Below are 27,180 nucleotides of genomic sequence, written 5' to 3' on the forward strand. Positions count from 1 at the left end.
CTAGAACTAAAATGAAAGTGATCTTCTGGTTTTTTTTTAATAATGATAATTCTATTATTAAATATCAATTGAATAATACAAATATTCATTAAATAAAAAAGAAATGTTCACTTGCTTTGCTAGTAAAGAAGAACCATTCATACTGACAAAGAAATAATAAAACAAAATAAGCATTTCATGCACAGAGGCATTATTATTATTACTTTTTGCATTATTTTTCAAGTTAGATATAGTTATTTATAATTCAATCCTGTAATTTCTTGGGAAAATTGCATTCAAATCACAAAATTATAATAAAAATTTTCACTCACAAATTATTGAAAATGTAGAGGTTTTGTTAATGAATTTTACAATTATTGTGATAGTTTTATTTTGTAGGTTATTTCAAGAAGATTTTCGTTGTACATGTGCTGAAAGTTAGGTATACTGAATTTACTTGTACAATATCTAAGCTCTTTAATAACTTAAAATGATCGTTAATGCAGTTTTATTTCATAAAAACAAGTGTTACTTTTTCATATCAAGCTCCTTGCATAGAAGCTGCAAAATTTTAATGTAATGAAGCTCATGAACACTATTACTCATCTAGATTTTGAAATTAGAATAACGTAATTTTCATATCTGTAATGTCTTACATTTTTATTTCAATGTTGCATTTATAGAAATTGTTTTAGGATGCCATCGTGTGGTATAATGACTACATTCAAAAGGTAAATGCAGACAAATGTGGAATATATGCCAATTATAGCAATGCTATAATTTTCTTAATAAAATTTCATTCTGTTTAAGAATTTATGAGAGAAGAGAGAACAGATGTCTCAGATGAGAGGACACATGCGGTTCTTTCATAACCAGGATACCTCTTTGTCCGCAAGGCTCATAAGGAGAAACAGATACCATAAAATCAAAATCTTGGAAACAACAGAGTTAGGCTGATTTATAAATCTTTCCCTTTACCAAATTTAGGTAGTTGGATGAGGCCATCTGATACTGCCAATTTTTGAGAAAAAAATATTTTACTTTATCTGTTTGATCCTAAAGAATATAATTCTATGTCACTCAGCTACACTAAGAAGAGAGAACACAGAGGAAGAAACAAAATAAATCCATATTTTGGTATTGAATGAAAAAGTACTTTTTCTTAAATCTACAGAGTGCTGTATTTGGTGGAAACAAACAGAAAAAGGAATTAAATTCCTAGGATCTGGTGATTTACTTTCTGACTGATCAATAGTAAATCAATTGACTTAGTGGGTCTTAGTTTCCTTATCTGTCAGATAAGGAATTTGGATCAGATATATCTATGGTCTCCTCCAAATCAATAAACGTTCCATACTTTCACGTTCCCTGACACTTTAAAAAAACCTTATGAGCAATACCAACCATACATTAATAAATGAGTATTGAAAACCTATGGCAGAAATAAAGAAAAGATGTTGGGAACTGAAGCACACCTCAGTATAAAAGGGCAATAAAATTACATGATAAAATGTTTTCTAATCTATAATTATTATAGATTTCACAGAAGGCAAAGATGAACAATGAGGACTAGAAGACTCACCAGCTTTGTGGAGACATGGAACTTGAATTGAATACAGATAACAGGATTTGGGTAGACTTGCATAAAAGAGCATTCAAAGTGAATAAGAGAGAATATACAAATGGAAGACTAACCAGTGATGGAAACAAACAAACAAATAAAGACAGGGGCTTTGTATACCAATCAAACATGTTCTATTTGACCTGAAGGATATTTTAATAAGGAAATTTCACACAAAAATCCATATTTTCAGCTTCTCTTGGAAGAGCAGATCTGACAACAATGGCTCATAGCACCTAAATGGCAAAAGCTAGTGAGGTTGACCCTTGATATACTCCATGCTTTCTCCAGTGTACCTCAATACGTAGAACTTTCTGATGTTTCCCCCACCTGGCCTGCTTTACACACTTATGGTATTTTTCTATGCCTCCAGGTATTAATTTGAATATGTAACCCTTGGATATGGGTCATATAAGATAAAGTGAAGGGAATGAGAACAAATTTAAGTGATTGGATGAGGCCATCTGATACTCCCAATTTTAGAGAAAAAATATTTTACTTCATCTTTTGGACTCTAAAGAATCTAATTCTATGTCACTCAAGTATTAATTTGAATATGCAGCCCTTGGATATGGGTCGTACAAGACAAAGTGGAGGGAATTATAACAGAAGATAGAAAATAAATGAAGACAGTTAATACTTTTAATGCCTCATAACAGTTTAAATGCATTTATTTTATCAAACCTAAGTTAAAGACTCTTCAAATAAGCATGGGAAATCATGTAATGTATATGTAAAATAAAGTATCCCAAATCTGGAAGCATTTATACTCCCTAATATTATAAAATGAACTTTGTATTAAAGTTCAAGAAGTTCAAGAAGAAAATTACAATGTCTACTTTAGTCAATAAACTATTCCCTGTAGCTGCCTCATTTAATTCAAAATAAGAATAAAGAAACTGAGGATGGAATTGATCAAAATAAAAACAAAAACAAACTAATCATCTCACTGAACAGAGGCTGTGCATATTTAGACTACATGACTTGCTAAGCCCTATCTGGATCAGAATCTTCCTCAGCTATTTTCACATGGGAGCCTTAACATTAAAAATAATCATTTTCCCAATTCTAGTACCAAGAATGAAAGTAGCTTAATTTGAATTACCCTTCCAGAGGTGATAAACTCTGGATAAAATATAAAAGTTAACTATTTAATGCACTGGAGAGCAACCAAAAGTAGGCAGAAATTGAAGGGGATTGAATTCTTGAAAGAAAGGGAATGCAACTGGGTGATAACATAAACATTTATGTGACTTCACTTAAGGGAACACTAAAGTCTTCCCATATGCAGAATGGCTAATACTCAAGGGGAAACTTACAAGTGTATTGCTTTAGGTGTCAGAGAAGTTTGTGTTTTCTAGAGCAGATGGAAATTAACAGAGCAAGTCCCAGAAAGCAGGACTTTCTATAACTAAGGGATTTTTCCTAAGACTAAAAGCTAAACTAAAAAGACCCTCCTAATGAAGTGAAAATAAAAGCTCTGTAAGTTCAAGATCAGCCAAAAATTAAATTGCTAGCTATAACTAAAGTCATAACTCTTCACGGAGTTACTGGAATCCAAAGTCTCTACAATGTTCTTACATATGATATGATACAATAATAAGGAGGCTTTGATATCTTGAGGATGCTTACAGTAATACCTTAAACAACTGCTAAATATAAAATAAAATAGAGGTATGACCAAAAAGGGGGGCAATAAAGAAAATAAAATGGAATAGCAAAACATTTCATTAATGCAAAATAAGATAGAAAAGGAGAAAGAGCAGGGGATGAAGAGATGCAACACATAGGAAAAAAGCAGAAAAATTTATATAAGCTCAATCATAGTAAATTTTACATTAAGGATTCCAATTAAAACAGAATGCCAAACTAGACTTTTAATAAAGCCTGTTGTCTACAAGATGTACTTTTTGTTTTCTTTGAGATAGAGTCTCATTCTGACACCCCGGCTGAGTGCAGAGGCCTGATCCTCACACCTGAACCTCACGAGTAGCAGGGACTACAGGCACATGCAACCATGCCTGGCTAATCTTTTAAAAATTTTATTTGTAGAGACAGGTTCTTGCTATGTTGCCAGGCTGGTCTAGAACTCCTAGGCTCAAGTGATCCTCTTGCCTCAGCCTTCCAAAGTGCCAGGATTACAGGCATGAGCCATCACGCCTGGCCAAGAGATACATTTTAAATTAAAAGACATAGATAAGGTGAAAGGAAAAGAGAGGGGAAAAATATATGTATACACCCCCCCCCACACACACACATATATATATATATAAAGATAAGCATTAAAAATTAGTATGGAAATATTAATATCAGACCAAGTAGAGTTTCAGACAAGGGATATTACCAGAATTAAAAAGATGTATTTCAAGTGTTTGACAGAACAAAAAGGTGATAGTCAAATCTACAACTATAGTTCAACATTTGTATAATCCTCTTTAATCGATAAAATTTTAAAATATAGTCAATATAGAGAATATTTAATTATACTATCAACTACTTTGTCCTAATTTGACATATAGAACAACACACAAAACTGCAGAATGCATAGCCTTTGCAAAGTGTACCTAGAGCATTTACTAATATAGGCCAAATGCTAGAACATTTTAAAGGTTTAATTATTGGCCAGGCGCGGTGGCTCACGCCTGTAATCCCAGCACTTTGGGAGGCTGAGGCGGGTGGGACACCTAAGGTCAGGAGTTCAAGACCAGCCTGGCCGACTTAGTGAAACCCTGTCTCTAGTAAAAATACAAAAATTAGCCAGGTGTGGTGGCGGGTGCCTGTAATCTCAGCTACTTGGGAGGCTGAGGCAGAAGAATCATTTGAACACAGGTGGAGGTTGCAGTGAGCCGAGACTGCGCCACTGCACTCTAGCCTGGGTGACAGAGCAAGACTCTGTCTCAAAAAAAAAAAAAAAAAAAGAAAGAAAGAAAAACTGAAAAAGTTTAATTTTTAATTGAAATTTTACAAAGTATAACCTCTAATAAGAATGGAATTAAATTTGATGTGAATAAAATGACAGCTTAAAATGTCCAAATATTTGGAAAGTTAAAACATACTTTTCAATGACCATGAGTCAAATAAGAAACTACAAAGAAAATTAAATATTTTACTGAGTTATGATAAAAATACAACATCTCAAAGCAGAGTTTAGAGGGAAATTTATAGCAGTGAAGATGTATATGAGGAAATGAATAAGTTTTTAATTCAATGATCTAAGTTTCCACCTTAAAAAGCTAGAAAAGGAAACAAAGTATATCCAAACTAAATGGAAGGAAAAATAAATAAAAGACAATAATATAAGGGAAAAAAGCAATAACTATGGAATAATGACAGCAAATTTTCACAATAAATATTTTCAAGGTCTAAGGGTTAGGCTAGGTTAAAATCTACGTTTACAATTCAGTATAGCAGACTTGTTACATCATCATGGGTCTGGAACAGCCACTTACAGAGCTGAAATGACAAGAAAATTTGTGTTGTGAAAATGTAAAGCTTTAGGTTTTCATCTAGATATATAAATAGTTCTTCCACTATGCAAAAAGCTTTGACCACCTTTCTATACCTTTATGAACTGGTCAAAATGCAAGATACAAAATGATGTGGTTTGTTTGCAAAATCTTCTTCACTTTTTTTAAGGAATGTGCATTTTATTTCTAGAATAAATTTATTCATGACACTCCACTAAAATGTTTTCCCCAAAGAAAGTGACATTCTTCCCATTGTTTCCATGGCTCCAGCAAGCAAAAATGGGTGTAACAAGTGGTCCAAACACTTTTTACTTTCTTATAGAACAACAGAAAAGAAAAATAACTGCCTTCCCTGGTACTAAGCTGCACCAAATACAAATGCTGAAGAAGCACTTGGGCTAAAAACAAATTCTAATCTGATGCATTAACCTCTTTGAAGAGATAATATTGGCATCTAAGCTATTAATTAACTTCTGTTTATAAAGGAATTGTAAGAGAAAAGTAGAATGTAAATACTAATTAGTCTTATTATAATAATTATATTTTATCCTTATAATGTTATATAACCCTTAAGAAGAAATTAAGTTGTCATTTTAAGTATAATAAAGAATAAAAACTTTTGAGTGCCTACATTACAAAGTTACAGGATAACTTTTCAGGAGACAAATTTATTGCACTCAAGTGTAGCCTTAAGATGAATGCAGCATAGGTGACCATTTTAAAGGTTCTCATAGGTTGGTAGAATTTAAGAAAAGGAGAAATAACTCGCAGGTCCCAAATAACCCCACATTAACTGGCTATATTCCTGGAATTTTCCCATTCACATTTATTCTGTTGGGTTAATAGCTTTTGGGCCTTCAAGAGATCTCCACAAAATGTTCACTATGGAAATAACCCCTAAGACATTTTAAACAAATACCTCAAAAATCACTGGTTGAAGCTATCAAAGTGTAAAAGAGGTGGTTTGTGGAAAACAAGCACCATCAGAAGTGGGAAAGAGCTCTCCCATGATTACCTAATTCACTTAGGTCTAATCTTGTAGGGAAGTGAAATGTTGCTTAGTTTTGCCGAGTTTTTAATATAATTATATTGAATTGTTTGTTACTAGAAATTTTGTGATAATAAGGAAAAGAGATGATTATCACAGAAATATTGTTATTTTGGGGATAGCAAATATCTTTTTTCTAAGTGTTTCTGTCTGTTTTTGGTTTTGTTTTGTTTGTTATAAACTCCTCCATAGAGTATGTGTGTGATTATTAAAGGGAAACTTCAAGAGTCTGATCTTTTAGGAATGTTGTAATTTAAAAATATGGATGTCATTTCATAAATGTTCCTCAAGTCTTATGATTCCAATCCCATCAAATGCATTGGTCAAGTGTTGTCCTCATGAGGCTAGTAATGGTTTGCCAGGGAATTTCTGCAGTTCCAGGGACTGAAACCAGGGCTGACAAATCACAGGGCTAAAGATGCAAACTGAAATTTCAGTCACCGAGTGGGAAGGACAAATTTTTCAGTCACTGAGTAGAAGGACAAGTTTTAGCAAAGGAATTTTCAATAATTAGTATAAACCTAGGTCATTTTCAAGACCAGTTTTAAATCTTGAAGGGGAAATAAAAGGAATAAAAGAAACATCAGTTTAGCTCAGCCTTCACCTTTAGACCATGATCCTTTCTCTTTAATAGGCAAATTGGCTCTTGTCACTCCTCCTGGTTAAAACCCTCCAGTGACTTCCCTTTGCACTTAGAATATAACTGGAACTCCTCATTTGGATGTATGAGCCCTACATGGTCTGGCTTCAATATGCGAACCTCACCTCCTTCCACTTTCCCCTCACTCACTACCCGGTAGCCACATTGCCCACGTTTTTAGAACTGCACATGGCAAGTGAGCCCCTTCCTTCATTTGGGCATTGTACTCACTGTTCCCTCTGCCTGTACCGTATGTCTACACTCTTTTTCACAAAGCAAGTTCATTCTCTTCCAGCAGGCCTCCACTTAAAAATCCTTTCCTCAAAGAGATCTTTCCTGGCTATCTGAAGTAGAATTCTTCAATTACTTTCATTATTATCATCTGGTTAATTTCAATCATGGGACTTAAAACAATCTGTAATTACTTCGGTTGCTTATTGATTTATCTGTTACCTTTTTTAGGTTATAAGCTATGTAAAGTTGGGGAGCATATTTTTCTTGTTTGTCACCATATCTCTAGTTAGCATGGTGCCTAGCCTACAGAAGAGATTTCAGTTATGTTTAGCTTATTATTTTTACTATGATCCCAAAGCTTAACAGAAGCCACTCTGACAGCTAGACTGTCTTGTCTCCAATGTCAATTTGTTTTCTTCTTTTTCAAATCATGTGAAAACAGTGGAAGTAGTGAAAAGTGACCTGATTTTAGAAATATTTGGAAAGTAACAACTACATGATTGTCTGACAGATTGAATGTGTAATATAGGTGATATAGAGTCAAAGATGATTTTAATATCTGAGTTAATCCAAGAATGAATTTTCAATTTACTGAGAAAATAATGAGGTGGGCAGGTTTGGGTGAGAGGAAGGGAGATGAGTTCAATTTCAGATATGTTAAATTTGAAATATTTATAAATCCACTTAAATTAAAACAAATGTAGATAGTTGCATACCTGAGTATAGTACCGAAGGGAAGATCAGGGTGCTGAGGGACCACCAGAGACCAACGTAAAATGTTTATCATTATGAACCTCACTAACTGGATTAAGGAATGATTGATTCCACTTTTCATCCAGATGCTGCAGCGATGTGCATCCAGAGCCTCCTCTACTCAGGTTTGCCTAGGTTGAAATTCCATGGGATTAATTTAAACAAGATCTTTGTTTTCCATAAGCCCATTACTATCCCTGTTATACACAGCAAGTCTTAAACATTTGCTGAATTTGTAGTAAATGTTTCTCCTTCACCTTACCTTCTGCTTTAAAAACACTAATTTGAGTGGTTATGAAATGACTGTGCATAAAATGGAGCTGTGTGACTTTTTTAGAGGACAATGATGCCTTGACTTTTCTGTCCCCAAGGATCTGACCCTTAAAATTCTATAAGGACATGGAATAATTGGTTATTTGCATATGTCTCTTTTTTCTTTCTTCCCTTTGTGTGTTGTTCAAAATCAGACAATGTATTCCTTGGACTATCTTGGCAGTTTATGAGCCTGAATCAATCAGCTAATTTGTAAGCATGGCACAGGATTTATGTGTACAGCTATAAATGAACATAGTTATTTCTCTATTTTAAATATAATAATCACTTTAGACAGTATACTTTTAATTAATTACTGCAGATTTTTTACTAGTTTTCATCTTAAATATGAGCATTTCACAATCCTCTATTAAAACTCTGCTTTGAGATGTAGAGCTGTGGAACACCAATCAGGAAAAACATAAATATAGAGGACATATTTTAATATAGCTACTTGAGCAGAGGAAAGTGGTTTTCTTGTAAATTTTAAATATCGTGCTTTCAAAGAGAGATGCTGATACGGGAATAGAAGACAGCAAAGCTGCAGAATTGAAAATAATACAAAAATTGCCTTTATTATTCAGAATTCCCCAAAGAAACAAAACCAACAGGATATGAGTAGGTGTAAACAAACATGTATATACATAGAGAGAGGAATTGACTCATGTGATTGTAGAGGCTGCTGATAATTCCCAAGATCTGCAGTTGGCAAGCTAGAGACCCAGGATTGCCAATGTATAGTTCCAGTCTGAAAGCTCACAGGCTGAAGACCCAAGAGTCTGTTTCAATTCGAGTCTGAAGACAAGAAAAGACTGATGTCCCAGCTTACCCAGTCAGGCAGAGGAGTTCTGCTTTACTCACAGAAGGGTTAGCCTTTTTGTTCTATTCAGACCTTCAACTGATTGGACAAGGGCCACCCAAATTAGGAAGGGCAACTTGCTTTACTCAGTCTACTAATTCAAATGTTGATCTCATCTAACAGCACTCTCACAGACACACCCATAGTAATGTTTGACCAAATACTTGTATGCCCTAATGCCCAGGCAAGTTGACACATAAAATTAGCCATCACATTGTCACATAAATATGACAGGGCACTTATTTTCATACAAGAAACTATTTTTCCTCAAAAAAATTAACAATGAAGTTAATTCTTATTCATGTATACCTTCTTTCCTCCCAGGAGTGTCGCTTTTAACCATTAGAGTGTTGCTACATCTCTTTGAAAATTATGGGAGTTTTCCATAACCAAACTGGAAGAGAAGACATCTTGAGTTCTTATACTAACTCTGATTCCCAGCTCCCTAACTCCTGAGTGAACTTAGGACAAGTCAGTTAAACTTGTGAAATCTTAATTCCTCAAATACAAATACAAGAAGGACACTGGACCAAAGGGCTCCTATGGCTCTTCCGTGGGAATGACTCTTTAACTGGTGATAGCTCCCTTCTCTACTACTGTATGTGTTTGGACCCATCATAGGTGGAAGTGAACTCCCCAGCTTTTAGCCTAAGAACAAGTCCTTGTGGTGATCATGATGGTTAGGGGAGCAGAGGAGAAAAAGCAACACCATCTGCTACCTGAATTGTTTGCACTGACCATAGTAGGAAGAAAAATCGTTCTAAAGTACCCAACATGTCCGAAATACACATTGTTTTTCTTTTCTTTTCCTTTTTTCTTTTTGAAACAGAGTCTTGATATGTCACCCAGGCTGAAATGCAGTGGCATGATCTCAGCTCACTGCAACCTCCACCACCTGGGTTCAAGCAATTCTCATGCCTCAGCCTCCCGAGCAGCTGGAACTACAGAAGTGCACAACCACGCCCTAATTTTTTTTGTGTATTTTTTGGTAGAGATGGGGCTTCACCATGTTGGCCAGGCTGGTCTGGAACTCCTGTCCTCAAGTGATCTGCCCTTCTCAGCCTCCCAAAGTGTTGGGATTACAGGCGTGAGCCACTGTGCCCTGTCCTAAATAGGCATTCCTATACTCACATAATTATACAAAACGAAACCATGCTTCTTTATTTCCTTTCTTTTTTGTTATTTTATTCAAATGTCTACTCAGAATTTTGTCAAGGGGAGGAGAAGGAAGTATGAAAAGTGAAGGAACCTGGTCAGTTCAACAGTGCTGTCCACAGGTGTGGCCCAAATCAGACTCGCATATCTAATTCTTTGAATTTTCTTTTCACTAAAATATAGAGGGTGTCTATTGCTCTGAGCTAGTTTCACCATCCATAACTCTCTAAGTTTTCTTCCAAGACTGTGATAACCACAGTAATGTTCTGTGGTACCAGTTACACAAAAGACTAGAAGTTAACTGTCTAGCATACCTTACGGATAAAAGTGGATGTTAAACTGACCTATTTTTTTCCACCAACCTTAAATTTTTGTTATTTTTGTTGGCTTTGTGTGTTTTGTTTTAGGGGGTTGTTTTTGTTTGTTTTGTTTGTTTTGGAGGCAAGTCTGTTTTCCTCAGATGGTTAAATCTAGTATTTTTAAAATCTACTTGAGTTCAAACAGATTAATATATTTTATGGTTAATTTCACCCTTCACCATTTTACTCCCCAATAGAATCTAAATGCAAATGGACTGAGAAAACAGTATTAGAAGTAGTTGTCCACACACTGGAGTAAAAATATGGTAATTATCCCACTGTTGTGACTCCCCAAGACAGCCAAATAGGATCATTCAAATCCTAAAGGAAGTTTCAGGGGTCTCAATTACCCACTTTGGCTGTCTACATCAATCAAAATAACTACCCTCTTTTCCAATTCTCATTCATGCTGTAACATATAGCTACAATTACAGGTGAAATATAAGGAATCACTTTGTGACAGTGAGGCTTGTTCAGCAACAGAGCATATAAACACTGAATCATTTCCATTTCTGATAATTGGAAACCCATTGAGTCAGGGTTGGATTAGATGCATCTCTGACTGTGGGAAGGAGATAAAGTTCCTTATTGAAAACTCTTTTAGTACTTTCATTTATTTAAGTATATTATTTCCTAAATATGTAGTGTTCTGTCTATATATTCTCCAAAAAAAAGCAATTATATTTTTCTTTTTTTCTGTCTTCCAGCCAAATTACCACTCTCTTGGGCCTATAACTTTATCATACTCCTGAACATATTTGACCAAGTGGTACTAAAACTTTGAAATACAAGGCTAAAGTTACTGCTTACTGAGCCAGGGGTGTAAGAATTTACAGTACTACTACTCACTGGGTCTATCTTGGCTCATGTTTAATAGTGATGGATTTCTAGCACGCAGAATTTAGAGATTTTTCACTATTTTCACAACATTGGGATTATTAATAGAGTAGTATCTGAAACTGAACAATATAGGGGAAGGGGAAAGAGAGGTTGTGAATTATTTTGTGTGACTTTTTAATTCTTTTGATATGCATGCACTTGTCACAACCTCTCCTTGCTTCATAACAGTATGCATAACGTGTGGTTGATTCTTTGGCCATCTCTATGCAGAATTCTGTGTGACAGCAAGTGCTACATGATGACTGGGAATGTGATGATGATTGCTGCTGCCACTTCCACAACTACTCTACCTCCACCATCTTCACCACCACTACTGCAATATACCGTTAGGCTGATAATAAATCTGGAAAGTTTACCCTGGGTTAATCCAACTCATACTTGGCTAAAATGCCTCAGAAGCAAATATGCAGAATATGAACACAGAATTGGTGACTCAGGTTCTCAGGTTCTCAGAGTGGAGTTAATTGCCCCTCCTAAGCCCATGGGCCATATCACCTTGCTGACTGTTAACAGGCTTGACTCTCCCAGCCAGAAATAGTTCCATCATGGAAGTTGTCCGAGTGCCAAGTAGATTTGCCATGTATTGTTCTTCTTTCTGTATTTAATTTATAGACAGATAGTGAGCATTATTGGAATAAGACCCTCAGGCATTTGAGAACTTGTGAGGATGAGTATGTCAGATTTCTATTTTTTTTAAATGCACAGCCTTTAGAGAGAGACCTGGAAAATCATTGCTGCCTGCATGGCATGCAATGCCATTTCTAATCCAGCAAGAAAAGAGGCAAAGAAAAATTACTATATGTGACTTTTTTTCTATGATTTACTTATCACAAGCTCTCTTTGCTTGATATCTGTATGCTAATAGGTGGTTGACTTGTCAGCCAACTGTGTTCAGAATTCTCTGTGACAATGTTGGCTTGCTTACATAAATGGTTTAGTAAAATTTCCACGCTTAAGATAGGCATTTTTCTTTAAGCAAATAGTTTCATGAAGGAAAAAAAACCCCAAGGGGATCACTTGACATTAGTTCTGGCTCAACAAGACTCAGGTTAGTGAACTATTGTGAACAGCCAAGAATTTAGTGACATATCACTTCAGATATGATGGATGCTTAGCAATTACTGATCATATATTGCACTGACAGAGTTGGCATTGAAAGTGGAAGCTGTTCAGAATGATAAATGGATATGACAATTTATTAAAGATAGAAAGCATGATTAGTGTTGGATGTAGATGTACCCTTTAAAAAACGAGGTAGGAAATGAAATAAAAACAAAATTTTATATATATATAAAATACATATTATATATATACATACACACACATATATATCTTGAGGGGTAATAAAGATATTCTTGAACATAAATGTCACACAATTTTTAGACAGTCATGGTGTCTCCACTTCTCCTGACTAGTACCTTCCTCATGCCCTCCTTCTGGTCATTAGTATTCCTCATGGAGTCCATATTGCAGAGTGCCTCAAGCCTGCTTAGAGGATCTTTTGAGTCTGTTCTAACACTTCTGATTTCATTGTAGCCCTTGACATGAACATTTTCATGTAAAGTTTCTGGTCAAGCTGTTTGTGCTGTTTCCCTTTCACGAATGAAAAGGAAGTACTAGGACTAAACGTGCTATGGAAAGAGAGTAATCCCCTAAATATGCATATATGCTTTGTTTATTGGATAAACTGATTGAGGAAATACACAATGCCACTGCTAATTATATATATATATAATTATATATATATATACACACACACATATATATGTGTATATATGTATATATATAAAATTATATATATGTATATATATAATTATATATATACACACACACATATATGTGTATATATGTATATATATAAAATTATATATGTGTATATATGTATATATATATGTATATATATACAATTATATATACACACACATATATGTGTATATATGTATATATAATTATATATATTTTGCATATATATGTATACACACACATATATATGCAAAAATAATTCATAAATCTTATTTAAAAAAATTTTTTTGGCTGGTCATGGTAGTTCATGCCTGTAATCCAAGACTTTGGGAGGCTGAGGTGGGAGGACCAGTTGAGGCCAGGAGTTTGAGATCAGCCAGGGCAACACAGCAACACTTTGTCTGTACAAAAATAAAAATAAAAAAATTAGCTAGGTGTGGTGGTGTGTGCCTGTACTCCTAGCTACTCAGGAGGCTGAGAGGCAGGAGGATCTCATGGGCCCAGGAGTTTGAGTCTGCTGAGTTATGTTTGTGCCACTGCACTCCAGCCTGGGCAATAGAGCAAGACCATATCTCCAAAACAAAGTCTGATAGACTAGTAAAATTTTACAAACAGCTGTAAACCTGTCAATTAATCAGAAAAGCCATTAAATTTTGCTTCTAAGTAATAATCTGCCTTCACGATTTCTTGGTATTTTGATATGTGTAAATGTTTTATTAGAGAATATAAATTCATTTCTGTTGTATATACATAAATATACATTATATATGGTATACAATATTACCGCCCTTCCCATGTAATGCATTTAATAAAACAATTTACAAAAATGTTTTATTAGGTTTCTACTATAAGTTCTTTAGAAATATCGTACACACATATGGGAATGACTCCTGTTGTCACCTACATTCAGTGAACACAATGTATGCTCAGGGATAATGAAAAATGAAGATTCTATCACTATCTGAATGGGTAGATTTTAGGAAAGCCTTTATCTGTCCTTGAAATCAACATCTCCATACACTTAAAATATTTAAAGCATTACTATATCATATTTTAAGGTTATCACAATCTTTTATAAATTTTTCTTAAGTTTTTATAAATCCTCTTTTATTTTCTTCTAACTCTCTGGCTGTTCCTAAGGCTTGGTTTGTTTTTTGCTTTTATGTCCTTCTCCTTTTTCCATATATTGAATGGTGACATTCCTCAAAATTCTACCAGAGGCCTGTTTCTCATGTTACTGTGCTCCTTCCCAAGGAAATGTTGCTTGTGCCCATGACTTTAATCGTCACATTTATTCAAATGACTCACAGCCCAGGCTTCTTTCCTGAACTACAAAATTTTGAAACTCACTGCCTACTTAATATCTCCACTGAAAGAACTCAAAAGCAGTACCACAAATTCAACATGTCCAAAGCCAAACCCACAATCTTTTCCTACCCCCAACTCTGCCTTGTCCTCTTCCATCATTCTTTGTCTTAGTGAATGACACAACTATTCAACCAGTTGCTCAGCCTGGAAAAAAAAGAAGCACCTTTGGTATTTTCATCTCCTTCCTGTCACCCTTTCATATGTAATGATCACCAAATGCTATTGCTCTTTATTCTAAGTATTATGCAGTTTATTCATCTCCTTTCCATTTCTATTGCCACTAATCTAGTGCAGGCTATATTGAATGGCATATTTCATGTTCTCCCTAACTAACAAAGCCAACAATGGCAATAACAAAACAAATTTACAAGAAAACACCAAACAACCCTATCAAAAGGTGGGAAAAGGATATGAACAGACACTTCTCAAAAGAAGACATTTATGTGGCCAGCAAACATATGAAAAAAAACTCATCATCACTGGTCACAGAGAAATGCAAATCAAAATCACAATAATATACCATCTCATGCCAGTTAGAATGGCGATCATTAAAAAGTCAGGAAACAACAGGTGCTGGAGAGGAGGTGGAAAAATAGGAACACTTTTACACTGTTGGTGAGAGTGTAAATTAGTTCAACCATTGTAGAAGACAGTGTGGAGATTCCTCAAGGATCTAGAATCAGAAATACCATTTGACCCAGCAATCTCATTACTGGGTATATACGCAAAGGATTATAAATCATTCTACTATAAAGACACATGCACGTGTATGTTTATTGCAGCACTATTCACAATAGCAAAGACTTGGAGACAACCCAAATGCCCATCAATGACAGACTAGGTAAAGAAAATTTGGCACATATACACCATGGACTACTATGCCGCCACAAAAGGGAATGAGTTCATGTCCTTTGCAGAGACATGGATGAAGCTGGAAACCATCATTCTCAGCAAACTAACAAAGGAACAGAAAACCAAATACTGCATGTTCTCACTCGTAAGTGGGAGTTGAACAATGAGAGTACATGGGCACAGGGAGGGGAACACCACACACCAGGGCCTGGTGGGGGTGGGGAGTAAGGAGAGGGATAGCATTAGGAGAAATACCTAATGTAGATGATGGGTTGATGGGTACAGCAAACCACCATGGCACATGTATACCTATGTAACAAACCTGCACGCTCTGTGCATGTACCCCAGAACTTAAAGTATAATTTAAAAAAAAAAGAAAAAGAAAAATGATATTAAGTAATAATTATTATACCAACTTATAATACTACATTAATATATTGGAATATTTATAGATTATTTTATACTATATTCATTTATGTAATAATAATAAACTTTTTGTGCTTACAGTGCCAGGTACTGTAATAAACACATTTACTTGACTACCTAATTTCTCATAAGCAACCTAAAACGAAGGTGTTATCATTACATCACTTTCCATATGAAGACATTTAGGTTTAGAGAAGTTAACTTACCAAAGTCACTTAGCTATAGTACTTCACGTCTCTGATTATGTCACAACCTCAAACACAAACACATACTCATTACCTTCCACTCCTCACTCTACCACATAAAACACATTTAATGCTTATTGCGGTTCCTAAGATAAAATGGAAAATCCTAGTCACCTCTCCCTCTGTAGTCTTCATGAGCCAGCCATACCACTGGTTTTTAGTTCCTTAAATGCTCCATGGTCCCTTGCACCATAGGAACCTGCACATTCTGTCCCTTCTGTTTGGCATATAGCCTCCCTTCCCTGAACCCTCCCTACCAGTACATGCCTTCATACATCATGTACCTCTCCCTCAGGACACATCACTATTCATAACACAATGTAGTTCTCCTCCATCATACTCATCATTACAGAGATTTAATACATTTTTTGTGTAATTTTACATGAATATGTGTGGTTTTAATTAACATCTATCTCCAATATTTTATTGAAAGCTCCATTGTGGAAGAAGTATAATTTTTATTAAGTACTATATCTGAGACATTTGCTTTCATAGTATCTGGCCTATATTAGGCATTCAATAAATAATTATTGAATAAATAAACTTATGGAAAAGTAAACTATGTGGGTGCAAAGTTCCAAATAACTTTTGGTGGACAACCAACATGCTAGAGTCACGAGCAGTAGTTCTAGACAAGAATCCAATCAATCATGCAGTTGGGCATGGTTTATTTTTCTTTATATTCCCAGAGCCTACCACAATGACTTCACACAGAAGTATTCAATTAATGCTTACTGAAGGAACACATCACCTCTATTAGGTCTGTTTCTTGCTTACATTTAAATCCATAGCAAGAGACCACTATAAGAAGGCTGAGTTACTTGGAAACATCAATTTCCCTGACAGGCGGACAGAAATCTGAAAACATCTGCCCTGGATACGAACGCTTCAGGAAGTTTACATTCTAATTAAGCAGTTAATGCATGTTTATTAACTACTGTAAAAATATTTCATCATAAGCTCAACAATCCCCCTTTCTTTGAAAGAGCAAAGAGCACACAAAAAACAAAACACAAAACAAAAACATGTAGATCTTGTTTTTGTTTTCTGTTGTATTATTTTTATCTTCCCAAAGTGCTGTCATTTTAATTCTAACTGATCTGTATTTGAAATATAGAATACTTTTAAATCTCACCAAGATCATTTTAATACCTGTGTTATTTTTAAGATTCTTTATCACATCATGTTACTATGAATGGAGAAGTCCTAGGGTTGATGATTGTATTAAAGAAAGACACTCGTCATATAAGCATAAAGCTATGGCAGTGAAAGTGGAAGCTAAAGCTATTGCCCCATTGATGACACCCATAATTCCTGCTCAGACCAAGGTTCTGTTTCACCAATGGAAAGACAGGAAAGGAGGGAAGATGTAACAGATAGATAGATAGAAATTGATTTATCTCCAAGGCAAGTTTGCAGATAAACTGAGTTATATATTACAAACCGATGTACGAAGCATAGTTCTGGCATTAAGAGTTGGATTCAACCTCTAAGCTTCCAATAGCACTTCAATGTCAACAAAAGCAAAAATGAACAAGTGGAATTAAACTAAAAACAAAACTTCTGCAAAGTCAAGGAAACAATCAACAGAGTGAAGAGATAAGCTATGGAATGGCAGAAAATAACTGGAAACCATATATTCAGTAAGTGGTTAATATTTAAAATATGTAAGAAACTCATACAACTTAATATCAAATAAAACCAAACAAGAACAAAACACAAGAACACCAAAAAAGGGGAAAAAACCCAAGTAACCCAAGTAAAAAGTCAACAAAGGAACTGAATAGACATTTTTCCAAGGAAATCACACAAATGGCCAACAGACAAGTATACGAAAATGTTCACAACATCACTAATCATCAGGGAAATGCAAATCAAAACTACAGGTATTAACTCATACTTGTCAAGATGCATATTAAAAAAGACAAAATACAAAAGATAAGTGTTGATGGGGATATGGAGAAAAGGGAATGCTTATACATTATTGGTGAAAATGTAACTTGGTATGTCTACTATGAAAAATAGTATGGAAGTTCCTCAATAAATTAGAAATAGAACTACCATATGATACGGCAATTGTATTAGGTTGGTGCAAAAGTAATTACAGTTTTTGCAATTACTTAAAAAAACTGCAAAAATTGCAATTAGGTTTGCACCAACCTAATATTTTGAGTACATATTCAGAAGAAATAAAATCAGTATGCCAAAAATATCTGCACTCCCAATCTCTGGGCATTTTAACACTTTAAGTAACTGATCTAAGCCAATGATCCAACCCATTTATTTAAACTCAATTATTTCACAAAGGCTCAATAAATAGAAGCCCATCTCTGAAGAACCATTCAATGTTCTTTATTTCTGTGCAGCTAACAACTGTGACCAGCAATGCTGACAATCAACATTTTCTTTCATACTATGTCTTATCACCATACCCCCGAAATACATGTCTGGCATAGTCAAAACCAGAAATGAATTGCTTTTTAATTAAATAACTAGAAGCAGGAAGGGAAACATAAAATAACCAAAAAGGAAATCATCATGAACCCGTATGTTCTCTTGAAAAGTTGCCAGCAGCAATTCATAGCTTAAAAAAAAGCACAAAAATGTAAACCTTCCACTTATTATTTATCACAATCTTACTAAGAATTAAATATTATATTCTAAAGAAAATAAATATTTTAGAACATCTAGTAAATTATGGAACAAAAGGATAAGGAACTGACATGTCCAGGCTCTTTATCTACCTTCTTTTTCTATATCCTCAGGACAAAGCTTAGAGCAATGTATAGCTTTTTAATTTTTAAAGATCAGAAGCCTAAGGCTCAGAGAAGTTAAGTAACTTACTTTAAATCAATCAGAAAAAAAACCTATAAAATAAGCATATTTCACATAGTCTGAAGGAGGCACAGACTTTTTACATTTTTTTTCCTTCATGAAACAGAACAAGACAGATTGGTTTAAGACATTTTACTTAGGCATCCTAGGGGCACGGTCAAGCCCAGACAATATTAAGTTAAGAGGCCAAGTCTATTTTGGGGGCCCTCTTCTATTTAAACTCTCTCTATATGTACTTACTAGACTTACTAGAAAGTGACTCTTCTTTGATATAAATTTCCTAAAATTAAGTAGAGAGGTTCAAGGCCTAGAAAAAATAAGTTCACTAATGAAAATCAAGTTCTAAAAATCATACGGCAGAAATTGAAAAAGAATTGTTTGAACATATTTTTAAACAATTGCTCAAGGCTTAGGTATCAGATAAAGTTCATATGAGGGAGAAGAAAACAGCACAGTGAACACAAGAGTCAGAATGCCTTTGTTTAAATTCAAATTTCTGAACTTATGGTTGCAAATCCTTGGACTAATTAACCTCATCAAAACTCAATATCCATGTCTATAAATGAAGGAAATAATCATAACTCCATCTAAGGGTAGTACTTCACATAGTGCCTTGCTTATAAAATGCACTCATGTGGTGTGGCAAACAAAATTGATCATCTTGGATTGTCTGGCAAAATGCTACCTAGAACTGAGGGTCTTAAGAATCTCCCACTTTGTGGAGTTTCTTCTCCTAAACCCAACTTCCCAATGATTCAATGCTTTCTTTACAACCATTAAGAGCACCTCTTAAGGCCTCCAGGTTCTGGGCAGCTGGCATTTCCATCATCCCGTCCCTTAGATGATACCTAACTGATTCATGATGGTTTGATAACTGAGCCAAAAACATTTCTCCACTGAAAAGGAGTTTACACTCTTATAAGAAGGTAGAGTAGCAGTCAGGCACTATCCCTTTGAAATACAAACCCAATGAATGTCCAAATGCTTCCCCAAACTCCAGCACCCCTAATCAATGGGATAATTCAAAATGTAAACCATGTACTTCTTTCTGCTAACGGTTGACTTCTAAGCCTCTCCAGTAAAGCCTATTCTTAACCTATTTCATGGGGCATTATAGCACTTACCTTTCCCATCTTTGCACCATTCAGTAAATGTTAGCTACTCCTGCTTCTACTACTACGGCACCAGCTCCTTTTATAAAGGAAGCTGCAGAGGAGGAGCACTAGCCTTGGGTATGCCCTTCCTGTAAAGTCAGCTGTGTAAAATCTTCTGCCTAAATGACAACAAATGTTCTCAGTTCATTCTTACTAGCACTACCTGGGCTTTCTTCCAGGTGCTAGTTTGATGAATATTCTTTAACATAAAAATTTGAGGCCGGGCACGGTGGCTCACGCCTGTAATCCCAGCACTTTGGGAGGCCAGGGCGGGCGGATCACGAGGTCAGGAGGTCGAGACCATCCTGGCTAACACGGTGAAACCCAGTCCCTACTAAAAACACAAAAAATTACCCGGGCGTGGTGGCAGGCACCTGTAGTCCCAGCTACTCAGGAGGCTGACGCAGGAGAACGGCGTGAACCTGGGAGGCGGAGCTTGCAGTGAGCCGAGATCGCGCCACTGCACTTCAGCCTGGGCAACAGAGGAAGACTCTGTCCCCCGCAGCCCAAAAAAAAAATTTTTTTTGAACAAACTAAGCATGAATAAAGTTTTGTTAATGTTCTCCTAGTCTTTATACATATGCAAATAATTAGTTGTTTATAAGATTTTAGAGATTCGAGGCATAAGCTTAGAAAATACACTTATGAGAAACCTCAGAAGTAACAAAGTATAGATGTGGGAATTGGGTTTTTAAAATTTGATCTTCATAGTTCTAAATTCTCAGCCTTAAGGTAAACTTGAGATCGTTTTACTGACAAATAGAGAAAAGAGAAATACTATGCTTTGAAGTAGAACTATTACATACCTATTTTTTTGGTCTACAACTTTTATGATAAAGAACCATAATGATTTTTTCATATTTTTAAAAAAATGCTGAGGGGCAAAAAGAGCATGCATCCAACAACATGTTCCACCAGCTTAAAGAAAAGTAAAAAACATTCAACATACAAAAGCAAAATGATCAATTTTCTTCTGAAAAATTACATAAAGAAAAAAAGTCAAACCTGCAAGCCATTCAGAGCAAAACATGTGTTCATAGACAAATTAAAGACAAAATTATTTTTAAAAATAATCTATAGGCTAAAAACACAAGGAAATTTTTTTTGGAAAAAATTATGGGTCATAAGATGTAGCAGATACTTCATTAACAAGGAAGTTCTCATCTCCTCCTTTCTAGAAAATTTTCAGATTTTCACACTGAAACAAGCATGCTCTAGTCCTCCCAGACAATAAAGAAACATTGTCTTAATTTTCCTGTTCTCTGCCCTTTTAAATGTGCCCCACCTTCTATAGGAGTCCTTATATGTTGGCTTCTTGCCGTCTTTCACATTTCCACTTGTTGAAAACACAAAATGGAGATATATAGGCACGCTAAATGAGGAATCGGTGATGTGGTACTATGAATAAAGACCTTTCAGGGATGAAAAAGAACTGTATGATTTAAATTATGTCTTTGTATTTAGACCTGTGGGGTTTCAGCATGCTCAGGTGTTGATTCACTCTATTAATTCGATTTGGGAGCCTAGAAGCTGGAGGAGAAGAACTAACAAAAGGAGCTAGCTATGGAACTTTTCTTTAGACGGAGAATCAAGCAAAAGGATGAAACACAATTTCCTGAAGTTAATGTTTAGTCAACCAGAGAAATTTCTTCAATGCATAGCTTAGATTTAAATTTGCTTTTACACAACTTATAAAAAAGCAGGTATAATCCATACTCCTAATAAGACAGAAAATACTGTTTAGCCAGGCCTGATCTAGGCTTGCCTTGTTGTCACCAAGCTGTAGCTCCATTCCACTCACCTCTGTTTTACCCAGAGATTAGCCCCTAACTGGAGCTGACAGTATGCACAACTGCAGGGAGTCACATTCACATAGACTATGTGAATGGTGCAGTGGGAATGCTGCTCCATGAAACAACACTGAGGTAACTCTTGCTAGAGGAAGTCTCAGCTTGCTGTGCTGCTGAAACATTCTCATTTGGGGAGGAGACATTCTAAATTTAATTGCTGGAGTCTGCAATGAACTGTGAAAAACTGGATAAGCAGATAGCATTTTTTCTAAGACCAGTGATGTATGATTGCCATTTATTTAATGAACTGCAGGCTCTGAAAGAGAAGTTTAATTTACTAATCCCTCAAAGCCTACAGGACTTTTTGGGTCTTAACCCCACCTGCTCCTTTTTTGTCTCACTCTTCTCTAACTTTGCATATTGTCTTTCCCTTCTCCCTAACCCTGTGCACATCCTTTTATTTGTACCTTTCATCCTCAGTATGTCTCTTCCCTCATATCTTTTCTCTTTCCTTTTGTTATCTTTCAACTTTATTTCTGCTTATTGCTCTTATTTCTCCATTTGCTATTTTTTCACATATTTCCTCTATGTCTACTCTCTCTCTCTCTCTCTCTCTTTCTCTGTCTCTCTTTCATCTCTTGTGTCCCAGCAGGCACTATTGATCTCCATCTGGCTTTTTATCATCATCTGTATACACTTTCCCTTGCTTTTTCTTAATCTGCTTTTGTTAACATTGATTTTTTTTCTATTTTTCCAGTTTATTTTTTGCTATTCCTTTCTTCAACTGTCCATGACACAAAACCAAAGTACACTTCAATATCCTCTCTGTGGCTCCAGACAAATTATTCTTCCATGTCTGTCCTTCGGAATACACAGAATGCATCTGGAGACTCTACATTCCAATACCCAGGCCACTTAGAACTGACATTTTCATTGTATCTTGATTGTGTTACAATTTAACAAAAATGTATGAAATACACTAAAGTATTTTTGCAATATTTATTTCTGCACACAAGACTACTAAAGCCAGCCTGTGTGATCCTTAACCCCAAATCTATATGTCTTCCTCACTGATTTTAGAATTCTTGAAAAAAAAATGCTTAAAACGATTTCAAAACTCAAGCATTTTTCTGTTGACCATTTGTGTACACAAAGGAAAGCCTGCCCACCAGGCTTGCTGCACTCAATTATTACAGCTGCAATAAAGTTTGCCTTTTGGCAGCAACACTCATATGATTTTGGAACTTAAATAATGATTTAGACAAATGCCAAGGAAGAAACTTTCCCACATGATTTAGCACCTTCTTCAAGAAATTAGAAAATGAACCACAAAATAGACCAAAGAAGTAACAAACTCATATAAATAAGCACAAAAATATATGAGTTAGAATCTAGAAGCTGGTGCATTGAAAAAAAAAACACATAAAATAGATTTAGCATCTAGCTAAACTAGCTAAGGTGAATAAAAAGAAAAAAATTCAAATACACAAAATAAGAATTGGTTAAGGGCAGAATAATACAGAAACAGAAATAATTACAGGACCACAATGGACTACGTTGTTCAATTATGGCCAAATAAATTCTGAAAAATGGGATGAAATAAATAATATTCAAAGAAAATATAATTTTTAAAAATTGACTTAAGAAAGAGAAAGATCTAAATAGACTGATATTCAGGATTGATATTCTAGATGATTTTAAGGCAGGACTTCCAACAATCAAAACAGAATGTAGCCGTACATGTGCATTTGGGCTGAATATCAATCTTGTCAACAGCCATGGGAAAAATAAAAATTTGACAAAGAATTACCTTAGAAGAAGCATAAGGTACTGATGATTAATGTTCGACATCACTATTCATCAGAGAAATTCAAATTAAAATGACAATGAGATATCATCTCATCCCACGTAAAATGGCTTCTATTCAAAAGACAGGTAATGATGAATGTTGGTGAGGATGTGGAGAAAGGGGAACACTTGTGGATTGTTGGAAGAAATATAAATTAGTACAGCCACTACGGAGAACAGTATGGAGGTTCCTCAAAAAAACAAAAACAAAACCACTGTATGTTTCATCAATCCCACTGTTGGGCATATACCCAAAAGAAAGAAAATCAGTATATCAAAGGAATATTGCACTCCCATGTTTATCACAGCACTGTTACAATAGCCAAAATTTGGAATCAACCCAAATGTCCATCAATAGATGAACAAATAAAGGAAATGTGGTATATATACACAATGTAATATTATTCACCTATAAAAATGAATGAAATCCTGTCATTTGCAACAACATGGAGGGAACCGGAGGATATTATGTTAAATTAAATAAGCCAGGCCAGAAAGACAAATACTACATGTTCTCATTCATATTCAGAAGCTGAATAAATATTGAACTCATGGAGATGGAGAATAGAATGATGGCTACTAGAAGTCAGGAGGAGTAGTGAAGAGTGAAGAGGGAGGGAGGGATAAAGAGAAGAGGGTTAATGGTTTTATATATTTATGTATATATATATATAGAGAGAGAGAGAGAGAGGATTAGGTAGGAGGAGTAAGATCTGATGTTCAGTAGCACAATAGGGTAACTACAGTTAATAATTTATTGTATATTTCAAAATAAAAGGGTGGAGTTGGAATGTTCCTAACAGAAAGAAATGACACATTATTAGAGTGACAGATACTCTAATTACTCTGATTTGATCATTACATATTGTATGCTTGTTTTAAAATATCACACATACTCCATTAATTATGTACAGCTAGTATGTATTCATAATAATTAAAAATTTAAAAAGAGGGAATTCTACCATAGCTTCAAAGAGTAGATCATTCTGAACTTCTGAAATTATTTTAGAACACAGAAAAAAAAGAAAACTTCCAAAGAATAACAATGATAGCAAAACGTGACAAAGATTAAAAAAGACATACACAATTATAAACAAATATTACTTAAGACTACTGATGAAAAATTTCTAGATCAATCATTAACAAGAGGATCTAACAGGACACTATTAGACTATTATATAATAATTAAGAAGAGTTTTGTTCCATCCTGTATTGCTGCTTGAGAAACATCCCAAAATTTAGTGACTTAAAATAATAATGGGCTGGGCATGGTGGCTCATGCCTGTAATCCCAGCACTTTGGGAGGCCGAGGCGGGTGGATCACCTGAGATCGGTGGTCGAGACCAACTTGACCAACATGGAGAAACCCCATCTCTACTAAAAATACAAAATTAGCCAGGCATGGTGTCGTATGCTTATAATCCCAGCTGCTCAGGAGGCTGAGGCAGGAGAATCTCTTGAACCCAAGAGGCAGAGGTTGTGGTAAGCCAAGATCGCACCATTGCACTACAGCCTGGGTAATAAGTGCAAAACTCCATTTCAAAAAATAATAATAGAATAATGATCTGCTGTTCCAATTCTGTGGGTGAGGAATTTGGGTAGGGCTCACTGGGGATTGCTAATCTACACACTAAACAGTATTGGCTGAGCTCATTCATGCGGGTGCATTAAGCTGAGAGCTGGGCTGGGCTGTATGGTCCAAGATGGCGTCCTAGTATGTCTAAGGCCTTGTTGTGGGCTGCCAGCTGGGGCACTGATTCTTTTCTATGTGGCCTTTCTCTTCAGGTGACCTCTCATCCCCCAAGACCTTTCTCTCTCATGGAATACCCTGATGATTACTGACATTGAACATTGTCATATACACTTACTGCCAATTGTATGTCTTCTTTAGAAAACTATCTATTCAAGTTTTTAACCTATTTTTAGTAGACCTGAGAGTTTTTTTGGCTATGGAATTGAAGGAATTCCTTATATATTTGGAAATTAAACCTTTGTCATATATATGGTTTGCAAATATTTTCTCCTAATCTGTAGGATGACTTTTAACTTTGTTGATTGTTTATTTTGCTTTGCATTAGACTTTCAGTTTGATGTAGTCTAATTGTTTTTGTCACCCGGAGTTTTGGTGTCATATTCAAGAAAACATTGTAAAGATCAACGTCAAGAAGTTTTCCTCCTTTGCTGCTTTCTAGGATTTTTAGAGTTTCATGTCTTACTTAATTTAAGTCTTTAATCCATTTGGATCTGCTTTTTGTGCTTGGTGTAAGAGTTCAATTTCATTCTTACACATGTGGATATCCAGCTTTCCTAGCACCATTTATTGAAGAGAATCTTCTTTCTCTGTTATATATTCTTGGAAACCTTGTCAATGGTCAATTGACCATTTATTTCTGGTCATGAATTTATTTCTGGTCCCTCTATTCTGTTTCATTTAGCCTATACATCTGTCTTTATGCTAATACCATACTCTTTTAATTATGGTAGCTTTGTAATGTATTTTGAAATCAGAAAGTGTGATGCCTACAGGTATATTCTTCCTTCTCAAGATTGATTTGGCTATTCACAATCTTTTGTGTTCCCATATGAATTTCAGAATTGTTATTTCTATTTATTTAGAAAATGCCATTGTGATTTTGATTGCATTGAATCTGTGAACATTTTAGCAAGATTCTTTCAACACATGAATACAAAATGCCATTCATTTATGTATTCTTTATTTCACCAAGGTTTTGTAGTTTTCAATCTAGAAGTCTTTTACATCCTTATTTAAGTTTATTTCCAAGTATTTTATTCTTTTTCATACTATTGTAAATGTAACTGTTTTCCTAATTTATCTATCGTATAGCTCACTGTTAGTGTACAGATATGTAACAGATTTTATTTGTTGACTCTGTATCCTGCAACTTTACTGAATTCATTTATTACTTCTAACAGTTTTTTGGTGGAGTCTCTAGGGTTACATATATATAAGGTCATATCACCTGAAAACAGGGACAGTTTTACTTCTTACGTTCTGATATGGATGCCTTTTATTTTTTCTTGTCTAATTATTCAAGCTAGGACTTCTTGTTTTGAACAGAAATAGCAAGAATGGAATCCTTGTATTATTTCTGATCTTAGGGGGAAAACATTCAGTTTTTCACTATCGAGTATGATGTTAGCTGTGGACTTTACATATATGGCCTTTATTATGTCGAGGTATATTCCTTTTATTTCTAAATTTGGTGACAGTTTTTATCATAAAATGGTGTTGAATATTGTCAAATGCCTTTTCAGCACCTGTTGAGATTATTACGTAATTTTTATTTTTCATTCTGTAAATGTAGTATATAACATTAATTGATTTTTGTATGTTGAACCGTCCTCCTTGCATCGCAGGGATAAAACCCCTTTAGTCATGATGTATGATTATTTTAAGATGCTTCTGGATTCTGTTTGTTACTATTTTGTTGAGGATTTTTGCATCTATATTCATAAAAGTTATTGGTGTATAATTCTCCTGTGGTGTCTTTGTCTGGCTTTGGTATCAGGATAAAGCTGGTCACTTAAACTAGTTGGAAGCTTTCCCTCCTCTTCAATTTTTGGAGGAGCT

General features: G+C 35.0%; 1 protein-coding gene and 1 non-coding gene across 23 annotated transcripts in view; both read right to left on the reverse strand.

Annotated features, from left to right (window-relative positions):
* The window catches only part of TMEM232 (transmembrane protein 232), a 351,524-nt gene that overhangs the window by 108,359 nt on the left and 215,985 nt on the right, over positions 1 to 27,180 (reverse strand). For 2 of the 22 annotated variants that reach the window (XM_011543563.3, XM_011543557.3), the window contains 2 exons: positions 11,823 to 11,922; positions 7,706 to 7,873 (listed from right to left, as the gene is read on the reverse strand). The exons of 16 other annotated variants lie outside the window; for them this stretch is intronic. In XM_011543563.3, coding sequence (XP_011541865.1) covers positions 7,860 to 7,873; positions 11,823 to 11,922 — 114 coding nt within the window. In that variant the 3' untranslated portion in view covers positions 7,706 to 7,859. Of the gene's footprint in view, positions 1 to 2,256; positions 7,874 to 8,603; positions 11,923 to 27,180 lie in introns of those variants that run through there. 4 more of the 22 variants (XM_017009706.3, XM_017009705.3, XM_047417494.1 and 1 more) reach the window with 3 other exon arrangements.
* Positions 18,040 to 18,126, reverse strand: MIR548F3 (microRNA 548f-3). Its single transcript, NR_031644.1, has one exon. It is a non-coding gene; the product is annotated as a microRNA 548f-3 (primary transcript).

Source organism: Homo sapiens, chromosome 5, assembly GCF_000001405.40.
Source record: "Homo sapiens chromosome 5, GRCh38.p14 Primary Assembly".
Taxonomy (NCBI): domain Eukaryota; kingdom Metazoa; phylum Chordata; class Mammalia; order Primates; family Hominidae; genus Homo; species Homo sapiens.